This window comes from Homo sapiens, chromosome 3 (assembly GCF_000001405.40).
Source record: "Homo sapiens chromosome 3, GRCh38.p14 Primary Assembly".
Taxonomy (NCBI): domain Eukaryota; kingdom Metazoa; phylum Chordata; class Mammalia; order Primates; family Hominidae; genus Homo; species Homo sapiens.
In genome coordinates, this window is record NC_000003.12 from 132,633,881 (window position 1) to 132,652,322 (window position 18,442).

An 18,442-nucleotide genomic window follows, 5' to 3' on the forward strand; every position below is an offset into this window, starting at 1 on the left:
CCTTACACCTTATACAAAAATTAATTCAAGATGGATTAAAGACTTACATGTTAGACCTAAAACCATAAAAACCCTAGAAGAAAACCTAGGCAATACCATTCAGGACATAGGCATGGGCAAGGACTTCATGTCTAAAACACCAAAAGCAATGGCAACAAAAGCCAAAATTGACAAATAGGATCTAATTAAACTAAAGAGCTTCTGCACAGCAAAAGAAACTACCATCAGAGTGAACAGGCAACCTACAAAATGGGAGAACATGTGCAATCTACCTATCTGACAAAGGGCTAATATCCAGAATCTACAATGAACTCAAACAAATTTACAAGAAAAAAACAAACAACCCCATCAACAAGTGGGTGAACGATATGAACAGACACTTCTCAAAAGAAGACATTTATGCAGCCAAAAGACACATGAAAAAATGCTCATCATCACTGGCTATCAGAGAAATGCAAATCAAAACCACAGTGAGATACCATCTCACACCAGTTAGAATGGCGATCATTAAAAAGTCAGGAAACAACAGGTGCTGGAGAGGATGTGGAGAAATAGGAACACTTTTACACTGTTGGTGGGACTGTAAACTAGTTCAACCATTGTGGAAGTCAGTGTGGCGATTCCTCAGGGATCTAGAACTAGAAATACCATTTGACCCAGCCATCCCATTACTGGGTATATACCCAAAGGAGTATAAATCATGCTGCTATAAAGACACATGCACACGTATGTTTATTGCGGCACTACTCACAATAGCAAAGACTCGGAACCAACCCAAATATCCAATAATGATAGACTGGATTAAGAAAATGTGGCACATATACACTATGGAATACTATGCAGCCATAAAAAATGATGAGTTCATGTCTTTGCAGGGACATGGATGAAGCTGGAAACCATCATTTTCAGCAAACTATCGCAAGGACAAAAAACCAAACACCACATGTTCTCACTCATAGGTGGGAATTGAACAATGAGAACACTTGGACACAGGAAGGGGAACATCACACACTGGGGCCTGTTGTGGGGTGGGGGGGTGGGGAGGGATAGCATTAGGAGAGATACCTAATGCTAAATGACGAGTTAATGGGTGCAGCACACCAACATGGCACATGTATACATACGTAACAAACCTGCACGCTGTGCACATGTACCCTAGAACTTAAAGTACAATAAAAAATAAATATATATAAAATAAAAATAATAAAAAAATAAAAAAATAAAGAAAAAGATTATAAATGAATACTCAAAGTTGAAAAGGTATTGCACCAAACTAACAGAAATGGCTGTGGTTACTTTAAGGGATTAAGGCAGGATGGATGAGGTCCAGAGAGGGGAACCTTCACTGGAGGGTTCTATATATAGGAGTGATATGACATGATCTGTATTTTAAGAGGGTCACTCTGGCTACTATGATTTCAATATACTATGGGGGGTGGGCAGTGAGGCAGCTGCAGCAATACTCTAGGCAAGTTATCCAAGCTACATAAAACTGCAGACCCCATTTGGGTAATATGAGTTACTGGGTTTCATGCCTCCATATAACTGTGTGTGCTTGCACTCCCTTGCTCCTCTGGCAAACTTACACACATTCTTGTAGCTTTGTGTGGAAATATGGGCTTTGGAATCAGACAGGCCTGTATTCAGACCCTAGCTCTACCATTTGCTGGCTGTATAACTCTGGACAAGTTAGTTAACCTCTCTAATCCTCAATTTTCTCAGCCATAATATACACCTCTTACACAGGGTTAGTTTGAAGATTAAATGGGCGGGTAGCACATATAGTTCATGTATGAGTTTCTAGCAAAGAACCTGGCACACAACAGATGGCCAATATGTATTTATTTGATGAATATGTTCAGAGCTTGGCATATATAGCAAGGCAATCAAAACTTTGCCATTGTTACTGTGGAAAAAAATTGATCACTCCTTTCTCTATGACTTTATAAGAGCTTTTATTGTGGTTATATTATACTATAAATTTATAATATTATAAGTATTATAAATTACTATACTAGCTAGATTTGTGAAACTACTGAAGAGGATGGATGCATTTTTCTCTTACATCATTCTATTTGTTATCTATGCTTTTAACATCCAAAGTAAAGATGAGGCACTTACTTATGCTATAAATGATTACTTTTCTTTTTTAATACAATTGGGAAACTTCTCTGGAGTTACTTTTCAGAATATCTGAACCATTTTTGGGGTAAAAACACAAAGCTATAAAACAACAGCCAGTGAGAAAAGCTGATGGCTCATCAAATTGCATAAATTAGTGCAAATTAATTAGCAATAGCTAATTAGAGTCCTGTTGATGCCTGTTTGTGTTGAGAGTTATTAAAAGCTCAACATAACTTTTAGTGGTTGATCTGGACATTTACTAGTTCGTCTTACTGCTGCTAGGGAACTTATTAGTAAAATTATTTTTGATAGTTTTTCTGAAACCTCAGCTCAACAGAAAGCTTTTAGTTTTTTAAATTATCTTCTTTATAAAGAGATTCATTTTATGTATACTTTTTACACCATTGAATTTTATTAATATGTATGTGTATTGGCATTCGAAACAAACAAAAAATACATACAATCCAACAGAACAAACAGTAGATGAAGAAGGCAGGGAAGAAAATAATAGAATTTGTAATGAAAAGATGAAGCTAGGAGTAAGGTTATTACACATAATTGAATGTGATAGGACATGCATAGTTGTTAGTGTGGGTAGTAAAATTTGCTTTGAATTTTATAGCGGGTAAAATAAAGTGTGAAGCATGGTCAGTCACAATCTTTATAGTGTATGCAGGTCAAAAACAAACCAGCTGCTCAAGAGGGACAAATTTTCTTGGCAATGAGGCTAAAGAAAAATATCACCCATCAATCTGCATACAGGTGATATTGTGTAGCGGACGAAAATGTCTTCAACAATATAAAGAGAACTTTGAGGGGCATGGTGTAATTCCTAGAAAGCAGGCTATGCTGGAAAATGACTGAAAGGACAAAGATGAGTTAGGTAGAAGACAAGACCACATGCTGAGAGTGGGAACCGAGATGGGACAAGAAATGTGAGAGTTTGAGAAGAAGGGAAAAGATTTAGAAAAGCCATTTTTTAAATGTCACAGGTTTTACTAAGAGATGAAGTTACAGCCTAGATAAAATCATGTGGCATAAAAATGTCCCAGATCCAATTAACCTTACTTCACGACTTTATTCTGCAGCAAAAATATGAGGATTCAAGTTTAGGGCTAGAAACTGGTTAAAGTCAAGGGGTGATGGACATCCCCTGTAGGGTTATTAGAAAAAATAAAAAGTAAAATAATAATAATAATGATGATATAAAGTCAGGGTGGGAAGATTCTAGAATAATAAGTAACCTAAGGTCAGGACACTTTATAATTCTTACATTACTTGCATACATCTATAGTCAAAAAATTATTAATGAAATTGATACTAAAGGTAGTTTTTGAGATGACTGATTATGACCATGTGGCTTATGTAGGATAAGAAGTCAAGTGAAGTCATGAAGGGCTTATGGATTCTAAATTAACAGCAATCAAATTTGCAGTGTCTCAGGGAAGATGCAGAGAAATAAAAGAACAGAAGGTAAAGAGGGTGAGGTCAAAAATAAGGGGTTTCAATTTCTAGATCACTGAAGTTGACAAGTTCCAATGGATGTTTCTAATTAAATATATTTTTCAAGTTGAAATGACAATATGCAGATTTTACATTAAACTCCAAGATCTTAAACATTTCTCTACTGGTAAAATTTATATTTGGAAAATCAACATTTTCCAGGAAAACTGGATTTCTTTTCAACATTGCAGTGAGCCTATTGTGCTACTGAAATACTTGCCCAAACATGCTTTAAATACTTTGTAAATAAGTAACAGAAAATAATTTCGTTTTGCCATATCCTGTAGTTTCCTTTACTGGCTTACTCCACACATTCCTGGAAGGTTTGTCATTTAAAATTGTTTATTCTTCTTTCTTAATTGTTGTGTTTTCTGATGACAAAAATTAAACATGCTGTTGTTTTAAAAATAAAAACCAAAAAACATCAAACCCTAAACATTACAGAAATGTACAATTATGTCTCCTATAATTCTATCCCCTACAACCACTGTTTAGGTTTTCGTACATATTATGAAGCATTTACTTATACCCTAATATTTTTCTGAAGAAGCTTGACAAGTAGTCTAAGAAAAGTCAGAGAGAAAAATGAAGGGGAAAAAATGGAAAAATGAGGGTACCTGAAATAAACTGAGCATCATTGATGTGCCAGGTACCAGCTAGTTGCTCCACATTGACTGTTTCATTTTAGCTGCCCAGCAACTCAGAATTTTTTTTTTCAATTTTAAAAGGTACACAATGTCAATTTCCTGGCTTTGATAATGTACCATAGTTGTATAATATCCATTTTGCAGAATTTGGATGATGGATACACAGGACTTCTCTGTACTATAACACTGTTACAACTTTTTTGGGGACTCTAATTATTTCAAAACAAAAAGTTAAAATAAAAATAGAGGCACAGAGAGAGATTGAATAACATGCTTTAAGTTCACACTGCTAGGGAATGAAAGTTAAGCATAAATTTATGAGATGGAAATAGTTGCTAGTGAATAATTAACTAAAATTAATCCCTTCAACATAGATTCATCAGAATCATATAAGCACCTGCAATATAAAGATGAATAAGATACAGTCATTGTTTTAAAGGAACTCCAAGTCTAGTGGGTTCTAATTTGTTATCTACTATAGAGACTCAATATTATGTAGACTCGACTAAAATATTAATTAAATGACACAGATCAAATACAGGCCAGATCCTGCTATGTTTTCAGGCATATGCTTTTATAATTATCTAGATTATAAATTAGCATATTTAATTTTTCTAATCTCAGGGTAGATAATTAACAAGGTTAGAATTCAGAATTCATCAGTGCCACTAGCTCTTCCTGCCCTAAAACATCTTAGCATTCTAAGAAACTAATGAACCCAGAAAATCCTCCTCTCAGAAGCAGGATTCATTCCTACTATACTGTAATCCTAGGCCTCATTGTAGGTGCTCAGTGGAGGATTACAGCTTTCATTTGTTTATACTCTTTATAAAGAATACAGTATGCACATTTACATTGAGCAAGGTTATATTAATCTCATGTAATTCTTTTGAAGCCTCAAGAAGCTTTTGGAATTCTCTATTCTCAGAGTTTATAATAAACAAATAATAAATTCTTCATGAGATAGGGCTAAAAACCCCAAAGAAGTATAAATGAACCAGAAAAAACAGCAAGAACATGGATAAGCTAAATATTGTAACTAGTAGATGAAAACTTATTTGAAGAAAACAGCATCATGCATGTAAAATTCCCAAATCCTTTTAAGCAGTAAACCAGATACCACTTGGGATTAGAACCAGTCTCAAAGGTAGGCAGCTAACTTATGCTGGAAAATCTGCAGGACTCCTTTCTAAAAATTTTGAGTGGTGACGACAGTCCTGAGCTGTAGGGGAACAGGGAGTGGGTTGGGCTCCCTCAGTGCTCTGGGGGGAGCATTTACTTAGTACTGTGTCACAAAACAGACCTACTCAATTAATTGTAAACATAGCTAACTGTACCTCTTTAGGGTGGAAAACTATGTTATCTAGTCTGAAATCTCCATGAATCAAATTCTCTTCATTGTCATTATCGGGCAAGTTCTTCATTAGCCACTCCGATAGCTGTTGCATGGCAGGGATGTCCTGATGAGCTGCAGCTTGATATTGCTTTGTCCAGGTTGATACCTAAAGACATATAAATAAGAAAAATGGTAAAGCTGAAACTGGAATGTAGGATCTAGCAATTCTAAAATTAAAACAAAATTCAAATGCTGTTTTACTCCTAAATACTTAAGACCCATGCTGGTGATACTCCTGTCATCCTAAAACACTCAAATCAGCCTAAACCTTAAACATTTAAGTCTCTTTTCCATATAGTTCCATTTTACTTACCTAGTTTTTTATCAAGAGAAAAATACTGGCCTAGGGATCAAGAGATATGGGTTCTAGTCTTTATTCAGCAACTACTTTGTAGAAGAAAAAAAAAGAATGCATACAAACACACACACGCACACACACACTCTCTCTCACACACACACACACACACACAAATATATAGGCATAGATAATCTCTGGAAAGGGTCACGAGAAATAAGTAACCCCTGAAAAAGGGAATATGGGGACTAGAAGAAAAAAGAAGACATTTACTTTTTTTTTTTTTGAGACAGAGTCTCGCTCTGTTGCCCAGGCTGGAGTGCTACCTCCACCTCCCAGGTTCAAGTGATTCTCCTGCCTCAGCCTCCTAAGTAGCTGGGATTACAGATGCATACCACCACACCCAGCTAATTTTTGTATTTTTAGTAGAGACGGAGTTTCACCATATTGGTCAAGCTGGTCTCGAACTCCTGACTTCGTGATCCGCCTGCCTTGGCCTTCCAAAGTCCTGGGATTACAAGCTTCAGCCACCGCGCCCAGCCTACTTTTCATTTTAATACTCTTTCTTATTACCCACAGAATTTTCTAAATATTTTACAGGTATGAATAGTGTAAAGATCTTCTATTGTTCTTAGAATTGAATGCAAACAAATCAACTTACTCGTAAAGTCCTCCAACAGGTGGGACCATATTGTTTATTTGCTTTTTTATCTCCATTTCCCGAGGTATCTTTGCTCAACTTAGTGCAATAGAGCAAAGACCTTTACTTGGTCTTATCTAGTCATATCAACCTGGGTTTAAATTATATCTAAGCCACTTACTTGTGTATTACTTGATTGATGCAAGCCTCCCTTTCTTCATCTGCAAAATGGGAGTAATAATACCTATATCTTAGAGTTGTTGTAAAGATCAAAAAAGAGAGGCCGACAACTCACTCTGCCATGTAGGACCTAGCATATAGTGAGTACACTCTAAACTTTAGTTCCCTTTTCTCTTCCTTAACCCCCACAAAATGATATGCTTACAAAGGAAAGCAGCCCCATATATATCTAGTATTGCTTTCCTTTAATTTAAAATGATCTCCATCACTCCAAATTTTATCTTTCCTTAAATACTCATTATAAGATATCTCTCCCAGGAAGCTTTCTCTATATAAGCAAGGGCATCCCAACTTCCACCCTTTGAATCATGGTGAGTATCAAACAATTTACCACTAGATTTTACACTCTTTTATACCATTTTCAGGTTTCGTGAATGACATGCATGTACAGGTCTCTCAAAAATGACCATAAGTTCCTGTGGGGAAGAACCTATTGTATATTTTTCTTGATATTTAACACAGTACTCAGCAGGTATTAAACACACAGTCAAGCTTAATAAATGTCTGCTAGTCCAATTGAGAAAGAAAAAACTGTAAGCCGGGCATGGTGGCTCACGCCTGTAATTCCAGCACTTTGGGAGGCTGAGGCGGGCGGATCACGAGGTCAGGAGATTGAGACCATCCTGGCTAACACGGTGAAACCCCATGTCTACTAAAAATACAAAAAAATTAGCAGGGCGTGATGGCGGGAGCCTGTAGTCCCAGCTGCTCGGGAGGCTGAGGTAGGAGAATGGCGTGAACCTGGGAGGTGGAGCTTGCAGTGAGCAGAGATTGCACCACTGCACTCCAGCCTGGGCAACAGAGGGAGACTCTGTCTCAAAATGATGATGATGATGAAGAAGAAGAAGAAGAAGAAGAAGAAGAAGAAGAAGAAGAAGAGGAGGAAGAAGAGGAGGAAGAAGAGGAGGAAGAAGAGGAAGAAGAGGAGGAAGAAGAGGAGGAAGAAGAGGAAGAGGAAGAGGAAGAGGAAGAGGAAGAAGAAGAAGAAGAAGAAGAAGAAGAAGAAAAAACTGTATAGTTAAAAGTATTGGAAAATTAAGAGTCTAAAACAGAAGATTTTGCTGAACAAAACCTAATATAAAAACATAAGATAATTTTATACTAAAAACTAGTCATTCTGAAGGACAATGTTAAAAGTCATGGCCAAGCTTCAGAAAACTATACAATAATAGCTTTTTTTGTTGACTAATAAGGTATATTATTTACAAGAACTTGAAAAAAATAGCTATTAATGTGGATGCATTACCTGTCTTTTGCAGTACCCAGCACCTATACCATATCCTTCCAGCTGCAGTGACTGTATATTCAAGGAATGTAACTGAGCCAATGTTTCTACCGTGGCCACATATATGGCTGAACGTTCTGCTGGGCTAAGTCCAGGAATTGTTAAATCACGGAAGATTCGACCCTATGGAAGTGATTACAACAGATTATTTAAATGTGTATAATCAATACTTTGTCGAATATACTAGAAAAACATTCATTTGTGAAACATATTTAATATTAGAGTATACATGCCAAAGGGAAAATAAAAGGATATGCCAAGATGAATATAAACATCAAAACTACTCTCAACTATTTTACAGAAAAAATTTAAAACACATTTTGAATTTATTGTTCTTAATGGCTTGACCTATGTGGAGTCTGTTTTCCCTGCTACCTTATGGACAATTTGGTTATTGCCATTACAGATAGCTCTTTACTGACACCTAGAGGAAAATTTAAGAATAAGTCAATACCCCCTAATTACTAAATTTGTTTCTTGTCTATTCCATCCCTCCCTTTGTAAGTGCTCAAATTTGAACAAAATTGTAAACCTTTGCAATGCAATCTAATTACCTAAAATGTTAAATAACAAACTATATCATTTATTAAGTATCATAATAAAACATCTTAATTAACTTCATAATTAAAAGTAAAAGCAACAAAATAAGATTAAGTGTTAATTTACCTGCACATGTTCCATTACGTAAAATTCTGTTCCAATGACAGAAGTATCACTGCAGTACAGTATAGGCTTGGGAACGGGGAATCCAATTGAAAACAAGGCTTTCTGGACTTTAAATTCTCTATCAATCTAAATAGGATGATGAATCATTAAAAATCAGAGAAACTGATTTAATTGTAATTAAATTTAATAACTACTTATGAGCTAATCTTAAGGCTAGAAAACAACTGTAAAACAGTATCAACACAAACTCCAGAGGATAATAGTAATAACTTCCCTAATAGTAATCTTGGTGTAATCACTATGATTATAAATTAGACCACTACTAAAAAATGTAATTTAATTAGGATAAGAAGATGAGCACCTGCATGAGACTTAATCCTGGCTCTGATAATGTGAAGGCAATAGTTACTGTTCACAATATTTCACATATTTTATCATAAAACATCCCTTTTTCCACAGCAGTTCCCTGGCTGGCTGCTCGCTCTTTCATGTCTTCCAAGGAAGCTCAGGTAAGTCTCTATTCTAGCACTCTGCCACAGTCAGCTACAAAGAGCTGGGGGTGAGAGGTGAGTGGTGGTGGAAGGAAAAGTACCTGCTCCTTCTGGAGAGCAAGGGAGGCATGTGTTTCCAGGGCAGGGGCATGGGGATCTTTCCTGGCACTCAGGACTGCTGTGGAGCTCAAGATAACTAGCAGGAAAGTAGGCAGCTAGAAGCAAACTGGAGCCTAAATAAGACAGTGAGGAAAAAATGGCTTCCTTAATTAGGACAGATGCACAGGCTATCACTCAGGACCCAAGGGCAGAGCTGTTGATGCAGGCCAAGTAAGGATGGCTTATCTACATGTAGTCACCTGGCCCCAGACTCAGGCAATGGTGACTGACCATTCTAAGGAGGGGAAGCTATGCAGCTCATTTTGACATCAGGAAGTAAAGCAGGGGCTGTGGCAATAACTGGAAGAGGAAAGTAACGAAACCCATGTTCAAGGTGAGAGCAGCCAGCAGTACCAAGGGCTGTGGAAAGAAGTGTTAACCACTCAGGTGTTGGGAAACGAGGGGGAGGGGGTAAGGGGGAGAGGGCAAAAGGGTTAGAGAAGCAAAAAGTGGATCACAGAGCTGGAGCATTGCTTTTTTCAATGCAGAGTTGAGAAAACAGAAGGGAGTTGAAACAGAGTACTCCAGATCCTTGGCAGCTGTACTTGGGCTGAGAGCATTATGCCCTGTTCTGGTGTGTTCAGGTGGGATGTTATCAAGAAAAGAGACAAATAAAACTGTTTATTGGGGCACGGGTGGGGATTTTCCTTCAGCCATACTATATCGATATTTAATAAAAGTTACCCAACTTTTTTTTATCTTAAGCATCCAACTTACTTCATGTTTCTGGGAATATGATATGGGACCAAGAAAGTCCCATAGAATCTACATTCTCTATTACTGTGGTATTAAGCCTACCCCACAATTGTCCTTCCCCAGTGACCTGGGCCTGGGAAGCACCTGCTGTACATGATTACGGCTATACCCTAAATACGCACAGTGCTTTTAATGTTCCCCAGTGCTTTGATTTCTGTCCCCTCCTGTTCTCTGAAAATCCATAGATAATACCTGTTTTCTCAAGACAGAAAAACCTAGTTTTCAACAAAAATCTTTTAGAATTCTCACTGTCTAATATTTAGAGAGTACTATAAAATACTTATTCAAATCTTTCTTTTTATCACCAAAAGATTAGAGGATTGTCATAGCAAATATATTAAAATAATTCTGAGTAGATACTATTACATATAATAATTTAAATATATAACAAAACAAAATATCTACAGATGAGTAGCACTGAAAATATTCATTGGCTGATTTTACTTCTAGCAAACAACGTAGAGGAAAATCAAATACACAAAAGAACTGGGTGTTGTTCAAGATTAATAGCCTAAAGATAGACTTACATTTCAACCTCAAATAATTTTTTAAAACAAAAAAAGATATAATTCAAGGGAAATTTTCATTAGAAATAAAATATATTTTATATTATTTGGCAATCATAAGATGCCTTTTAAAAGTAAATTGGCTTTGTGTGTATTAAAAGCATTTATTTGTCACCAAAGAATTTATCATTACATTTGTATACTATACCTGATGTGCTTTAGGAAGAAGTGAACCTGGTGGTTTTTTCCTGAGCACATATGTTTGAAAGCCCTTCTGGAGATAAAAGGTTGGATTGGACTTTCCTGCTCTAGATAAAAGTAAAAAAAAAAAAGGTCAATTACAAAGATATGTTTTCCGTCATCCCCAAATCCTACTGAAATGTCAGAAGAAACAAATGAAAATAAATTCATCTCAATGCTGGAAAATCAAGAGGGGTGCTATCAGCAGCTCACAACATGAATTTCTAGATGATATTAAAGCAGATGGCAACATACTGGCAGCTGGAGAATCTGTGACTCACAGAGGTAGAAGAGAGGACCCCACTTCCTGACTGCAAATCCTAAGTTTTATCAGGAGTACCTGTAGAACAATGACTGATCTAAGTAAACTTGTAGAACAATGACTGATCTAAGTAAATAAACAATCTGAGAAGAGATTGTTAGTTATCAGTCAGAAAATGAATTAAAAGATGCAGGAACAGCTGGCTTAATGCCCCCTCATCTGCCTTTAGAGAGATAACCCTCATAAGTGTCAACAAGGCTAGTGCGTGAGTTGAGCTCTCTACAATGGGAGTTCTGAGAAGTGAGGTCCCACAGTGAGCATCTGGCCCAGGGAAGTGCAATGCTGGCCCAACTAACTCACAGACACCAGGGCATTGACTTTCCCTGCCAGATGAACAGAAATTCTCACCTAAACTAAGGATAGACACTTCAGCTACCAAAACTATTCAGTCTATTCCTTCACTTATAATATGGGCATTTAAGAATCGCCCAACTTTTGAAGAATCCAACTGTATAAAGGAGAGATCCTAAATTAAATAAACAGAAGAATCAATCCTTAAGGTAATAGGTAATAGGAGAAAGTAGAAAAAAAAATCTTTGGAGCTTCTTCCCAGGACTCCAACCTCCATCAGGAAAAAACAAGCATGAGCCTAGATTGAGTCTGGCAGCAGCCCCAGTGTCTATGTCTTCTATAAATCAGACCCATCCTCCCTGGCAATCATATCAAGGAGCACTGGTTTTGGTACCATCTAATCCTGAGTGAGTGCCTTTTACCATAGGAAGGTAGAGATAATCACCAGTGGTCAGGAAATAGGACCACCACAGGCTATGCTGTCTTTATTGATATAGAACAATTTATCTTTGATGCTGCAAACCATCAATTGCAACGAATCTTTTTTTTTTTTTTTTTGAGACGGAGTCTCGCTCTGTCGCCCAGGCTGGAGTGGCGCGATCTCGGCTCACTGCAAGCTCTGCCTCCCGGGTTCACACCATTCTCCTGCCTCAGCCTCCGCAGTAGCTGGGACTACAGGCGCCCGCCACCGCACCCGGCTAATTTTTTGTATTTTTAGTAGAGACGGGGTTTCACCGTGGTCTCGATCTCTTGACCTCGTGATCCGCCCGCCTGGGCCTCCCAAAGTGCTGGGATTACAGGAGTGAGCCACCGCGTCTGGCAACAACGAATCTCACAAACACATTTTTTAAAAAATGCCAAACATCTGATTGGATGCATTTTTGATGAGGCTTGTGATCCGCCTGCCTGGGCCTCCCAAAGTGCTGGGATTACAGGCGTGAGCCATCACGTCTGGCAACAATGAATCTTACAAACACATTTTTTAAAAAATGCCAAACATCTGATTGGATGCATTTTTGATGAGGCAGTTCTCTAGTCTTATATAAAGCACTGGTCTTTCATGATAGTAAATGACCCAAATGAAATACAAAGAAAAAACTAAAAGCTTCTTGTTGAAGATAGAGTGACCCAGCAAGTCTGCTTCTACATATATATCCAAGAGAACTGAACACATAAAATTAACACAAAAACTTGTACATGAATGTTCACAGCAGTACAATTCACAACAGCCAAAAATTAGAAACAGCTCAAATATCCGTCTGCAGACAAAAGGATAAACAAAATGTGGTATATCTATACAATGGATTATTGTTTGGCAATATACAGGAATAAAATGCCGATCCATGCTACAACATGGATGAATCTTGAAAATATTATGTTAAGTGAAAGAAGCTAGTCACAAAAGACTACATATTATGTGATTCCATGTCTATGAAATGTCCAGGATAGGGAAATCCATAGTGACAGAAAGTAGATTAGTAGCAGCCAGGGATGGGGGAGGAAAAAATTGGGAACTATGAGGTTTCTTTGGGGGCGATGGAAATGTTTTAGAACTAGATAGTGGTGATGGTTGTATAACATTGTGAATATATGGAAAACAACTGACTTGTACACTTTAAAACGGTTAAATTTTTAAATGTTACGTTACATGAATTTCTCAAAAACAAACAAAAACAATTAAAAGTTTCTCTTTTGAGGAAGTATCTAAAGTGGTTATAACAAAGACAAAAAAAAATTGCAGAAGCCCATTTGCATGGGAGGATCATTGTCAACACTGTCAATACAGTACTTGCTAAATTTAACTACTCCAACCATCAGGCCTCCAAATAGCCTAGAACCATTGATGGTCTCAATATAAGAATCATCATTGAACCAATAGTCAGAACTATTGGTTAGTTCTTGGACAAGATATTTGGTGCTGAGAGAAATGTGTTGATCTATAACCTAAGAGATGGTACTTTTGATGTGTCTAACCTCCATTAACAAATAGAAAATCTTTGCATGTAAGTGTGCAGCCATGGACACTTACTTGGTTAGAGAAGACTTTAAACAGACAATCTCACGAGACCCTACTAAGCCATCCATAGCATTGGTTCCCTTAGAAGCATAAACAGACAGGAAAAACAGGATGCTGGCATGGCAGCATCAGATGAGTTTCTTCAGCAGACCCCTTGCAGCAGTCCAGGGTTTACTCCATGCCCCCATTCCCCCTTGGTGACAGCTCAGGTGAGAGGGAATGAGATCAGGAAATGGGTGAGTATGGGTACCACCTTGATTTAGAAGTCTTAGTCTATTTAGGCTGGTAGTCTATTCAGACTGCTATTATGAAATACCATAGACTGGGTAGCTTATAAACAACAGATATTTATTTCTCACATTTTTGGGGCCTGGGAAGTCAAAAATCAAGGCACCAGCAGATTCAGTGTCTGGTGAGGACCCACTTTCTTATAGATGGCACATTCTTGCTCTTTCCTCACATGGTGGAAGGGGCAAGGCAGTTCTTTGGGGTCTCTTTTATAACACTAATCCCATTCTTGAGGTCACTGTACTCATGATCTAATCATCTCCCAAAGACCCCCCACCTCTTAATATCATTACCTTAGGAGTAAGGATTTCAACATATGAATTTTTGAGGGACACAAACATTTAGATCATAGTAAAGCCTCATGCCCTACAGAAGCCATTATCTGTAGTAGCAGTCTTTTGGCACCAGCTTCCAGGGCCCTAGCAAAGGACATAACTAGTTGAAAGAACCCTCTACACTTAGGGAAGCCCAAAGCTATGCCTTTCCACCAGATACTTAAACAGTTCATTTACAGACCTTCCAGTTCAGATGCAGTTTACTAATTAGATGTTATTTTTACCATAAGCAATGTTGCCTGGAAACACATCTGATATGCCACCTTTACCAAGTTTTCAGAATTACAGAGCTAGAAAATTAAATAAATTTATCCATAGAGCAGGAGAAAAGATTTTTAACCCTTTATTTATATCACGGTTAACAAGTCTCAGACTCATGGCATCATCCTAGAGGGTGCATCTACCTGCATCTCTAAGCTTTAGAAACTCAGAAATTCCTATAGGAATTTTTTAACAGAAAGGAACTGGAAAAAAAAAAAAGCATAGGCCCTGATAAGGGAATCAGTTGTGTTTGTGGATATCCAGGAAGCCACTTATCCCTTGTGCAGAGATTTGAAAATATTTAGGATTTGCTGCTTTTTAATTTTACTCCTTTTCCTTTGGTGGAAATCATGACTAGTGGAATCATGACTATTCTGACCAAGTGCGTTTAATAAAACCACTGAACAGACTCAGACCTTCACTAACTATCTACTCTGACAACCAGTTTGGTTTGTGTAGGGAAAAGAGAGATCAGACTGTTACTGTGTCTATGTAGAAAGGGAAGACAAAAGAAACTCCATTTTGACCTGTACCCTGAACAATTGCTTTGCCTTGAGATGCTGTTAATCTGTAACTTTGCCCCAATCTTGAGCTCACAGAAACATGTGTTGTATGGAATCAAGGTTTAAGGGATCTAGGGCTGTGCAAGATGTGCCTTGTTAACAAAATGTTTACAGGCAGGCAGTATGCTTGGTAAAAGTCATCACCATTCTCCAGTCTCGATAAACCAGGGGCACAATGCACTGCGGAAAGCCGCAGGGACCTCTGCCCTGGAAAGCCAGGTATTGTCCAAGGTTTCTCCCCATGTGATAGTCTGAAATATGGCCCCGTGAGATGGGAAAGACCTGACCGTCCCCCAGCCCGACACCCGTAGGGGGTCTGTGCTGAGGAGGATTAGTAAAAGAGGAAAGCCTCTTGCAGTGGAGATACAGGAAGGCCACTGTCTCCTGCCTGCCCCTGGGAACTGAATGTCTCGGTATAAAACCCAATTGTACATTTGTTTAATTCTGGGATAGGAGAAAAGCCACCCTGTGGTGGGAGGTGAGACATGTTGGCAGCAATGCTGCTCTGTTACTCTTTACTCTACTGAGATGTTTGGGTGGAGAAAAGCATAAATCTGGCCTACGTGCACATCTAGGCATAGTACCTTCCCTTGAACTTATTTGTGACACAGATTCCTTTGCTCACATGTTTTCTTGCTGACCTTCTCCCCACTATCACCCTGCTGTCCTGCCACATTGCTCTTGCTGAGACAGTGAAAACAGTAATTAATAAATACTGAGGGAACTCAGAGACTGGTGCTGGTGAAGGTCCTCCGTATGCTGAGCGCCGGTCCCCTGGGCCCACTTTTCTTTCTATATACTTTGTCTCTGTGTCTTATTTCTTTTCTCAGTCTCTTGTCCAGACTGACTAGAAATACCCACAGGTGTGGAGGGGCTGGCCCCCTTCAGGTTTGCTCATTAAGGTTTACAAAATTGAGTGAGCAATGATGAAGGATAACAACCAGCCCGGCAAATTTGAACTCACGGGCATTCCTCCTAAACCCTTTGGATTTCCACAAATTTAAATAACTTTTTATATTGATGCCAACAGCATCTCAAATGTGTTTGCTGTTGATAAGAGATCAGGAAAAAAGAAGATTAAAAGACAAATGACCCAGTGTTTGCCCATGGAAACACTGAGTATTTGGTCCAAGAGGCATAGAAGTACAAAGCTGGAAAACGAGAAACAAAGAGACAGAGTTTCTTGTAAGAAGTTGCTCAGATCCTATGTATTCAATAGGCCACAGTGAAAAATGAGAGACGGCAAAGCAGAATCAAAGATGAAGTCAAACACAAGACTCCTGACAAGTGCAATGGAGTCATCAATGACTGGTCAAGAATCTCATTACTGAGAAGGAAGAATTTAACATCAGCCAAAAGAGCTGGAGAGGGTAAAAACCCTGCCGTTATCACAGTGTAACAGAGCTAGCACCATGCTAGGTGCTTTGCTAGGGACTTCCCTAGAAGTGGTTGCCCATCCTCTAGAGGTGTGTCTTCTGGAACCATGACTACAGAAACAGAATAAGGCAACCAAAACTCAACATGAAGTTTGAACATGAACACACAGTCATGAAATCCTACTCTGATTTGTAGGAAGTCAGTTTAGTGACAGTTTTTTTAAAAAATCATACTTGGGCTGCTATTTCATATATTATTAGACATTTTGAATATCTGAATATACACAGGGTAAGGAAATACAGTTGCACTTTATCCACATGATAAATAGGTAGAAAGTACAATTCATGATAGAGGACAAAGGCTTTTAAAGTTGGCATCACTAAAAAAATAAGAAAAACAGTGAGTCCAGACTACTTAACTTAGTGTAAGACTGTCCCTCCCCAGCCCCAATACATACCTACAACTTCCCATTTCCTATCACTGACAGCACTACTACCTTGAGACCACCGGAACTGGTTTCATTGTGTTCTTTATCCCTCTTTATATCATCAATACCAGAAGTCCCAAATTCCCCTTTTATACTTGTTTACTGCATTGTAATTCCCATAAGGCTCTGCACATTCCCTATTTTCTCCCACATCTTCTCCACCCCCTCAACTCCTGATATCCTTCCACTGTGCCCCTGGAACTCACAGTCTTTCACAATTCCATACAGCTTCAATATCTTCTCTGAATAGACCCTTCACCTCCTTGCTCTAACTAAAACCTGAATATTCCATGAGGATCCTGTTTCCTTTGTAGGCTTCTTAAGTGGTAGATGTTTTTCCCACATCAGTCTTCTAGTAAGCCTGGATGGAGTCTGTATCCTTCCTGAAACTCATTGCTACTTCCAGACTCTTTGCTCTCCCTCCTGTGTAAATTCTTCCCTCAGCTTTGAATCTCAGGCCATGAGACTCTGCCACCCTCTACCCCTTTTTCTTGCAGTCACCTACTAACTCTCAGATCATTTCTCCTCATTTCTTAAGGATCTTGGCATAATTCACTATTACTCTCATTAACACTACTCCTGTCTTAATTACTGATTTCAAAATCTACACAGATGTCCCTTTTAACATTTAGGCCCATCAGTTCCTTGAATTTTCTCCACCAGTGATATTTTCCTTGACACTATCTCAGCCAGTAATTCTAGGAGTTACACCCTACACTTTAGCAATATCAACAGTAAAAGCACTGAATAATCCTAGTTTCTAAACATTTCTACCTCTAACCTCCTACCTTTCCACTCACTCCTGCTAGTGCCTCAATTCCAACAATCCTTCAATCAATACTTGACCTACCATCCATTGATCATACTGCCATTCACCTCATATCCCCCGACCATATCCTTTGCCCAAGACTGTGGGAGCCCACCTCTTGCATCACTGTGACCTGGATGTGAACATGGAGTCAAAGGATATCATTTTAGAACTTTAAGACTGTCCCACTGGATTTTGGACTTGCATGGGGCCTGTAGCCCCTTTTATTTTGGACAATTTCTCTCATTTGGAACAGGTATATTTACCTAATGCCTGTACCCCCATTGTATCTAGGAAGTAACTAGCTTGCTTTTGATTTTACAGGCTCATAGGCAGAAGGGACTTACCTTGTCTCAGATGAGACTTTGGACGGTGGACTTTTGAGTTAATGCTGAAATAAGACTTTGGGGGACTGTCAGAAGGCATGATTCATTTTAAAATATGAGGACATGACGTTTGGGAAGGGTCAGGGGTGGAATGATATGGTTTGGCTGTGTCCCCACCCAAATCTTATCTTGAATTGTAGCTCCCATAATTCCCAATTCCCATGTATCATGGGTGAGACCTGGTAGGAGGTAATTGAATAATGGCAGTGGGTCTTTCCTGTGCTGTTCTCATGATGGTGAATAAGTCTCATGAGATCTGATGGTTTTATAATGGAGAGTTCCCCTGTACACATTCTCTCTTGCCTGACTTCATGTAAGACATCCCTTTGCTTTTCCTTTGTCTTCTGCCATGATTGTGA

At 38.4% G+C, this 18,442-nt stretch overlaps 1 protein-coding gene, 1 long non-coding RNA gene and 1 pseudogene across 5 annotated transcripts in view, besides 1 other annotated feature; 1 reads left to right on the plus strand and 2 right to left on the minus strand.

Annotated features, from left to right (window-relative positions):
* Positions 1-18,442, minus strand: part of NPHP3-ACAD11 (NPHP3-ACAD11 readthrough (NMD candidate)) — a 164,322-nt gene that overhangs the window by 75,743 nt on the left and 70,137 nt on the right. Inside the window, exons 27-30 of the long non-coding RNA NR_037804.1 lie at positions 10,917-11,011; positions 8,797-8,922; positions 8,092-8,253; positions 5,612-5,776 (exon numbers count right to left, since the gene is read on the minus strand). This is a non-coding gene — a long non-coding RNA (NPHP3-ACAD11 readthrough (NMD candidate)). The remainder of the gene's footprint in view (positions 1-5,611; positions 5,777-8,091; positions 8,254-8,796; positions 8,923-10,916; positions 11,012-18,442) is intronic.
* ACAD11 (acyl-CoA dehydrogenase family member 11) overlaps positions 1-18,442 on the minus strand; it is a 101,669-nt gene that overhangs the window by 75,740 nt on the left and 7,487 nt on the right. For all 4 annotated transcript variants that reach the window (NR_132428.2, NR_132427.2, NR_132426.2 and 1 more), the window contains exons 2-5: positions 10,917-11,016; positions 8,797-8,922; positions 8,092-8,253; positions 5,612-5,776 (exon numbers count right to left, since the gene is read on the minus strand). Coding sequence is in view for 1 of the 4 variants with exons in the window: in NM_032169.5 (NP_115545.3) it covers positions 5,612-5,776; positions 8,092-8,253; positions 8,797-8,922; positions 10,917-11,016 (553 nt within the window). In the remaining 3 variants the exon portion in view is untranslated. The remainder of the gene's footprint in view (positions 1-5,611; positions 5,777-8,091; positions 8,254-8,796; positions 8,923-10,916; positions 11,017-18,442) is intronic.
* Positions 7,380-7,570: a silencer, noted in NCBI's record as "fragment chr3:132360104-132360294 (GRCh37/hg19 assembly coordinates)". NCBI's record gives its function as "represses an EF-1alpha promoter that drives an FKBP-Casp9 reporter gene in an ReSE screen in HepG2 liver carcinoma cells {active_cell/tissue: HepG2}" and the evidence as "EXISTENCE:reporter gene assay evidence [ECO:0000049][PMID:32094911]".
* HSPA8P19 (heat shock protein family A (Hsp70) member pseudogene 19) lies at positions 13,241-16,514 on the plus strand (annotated as a pseudogene).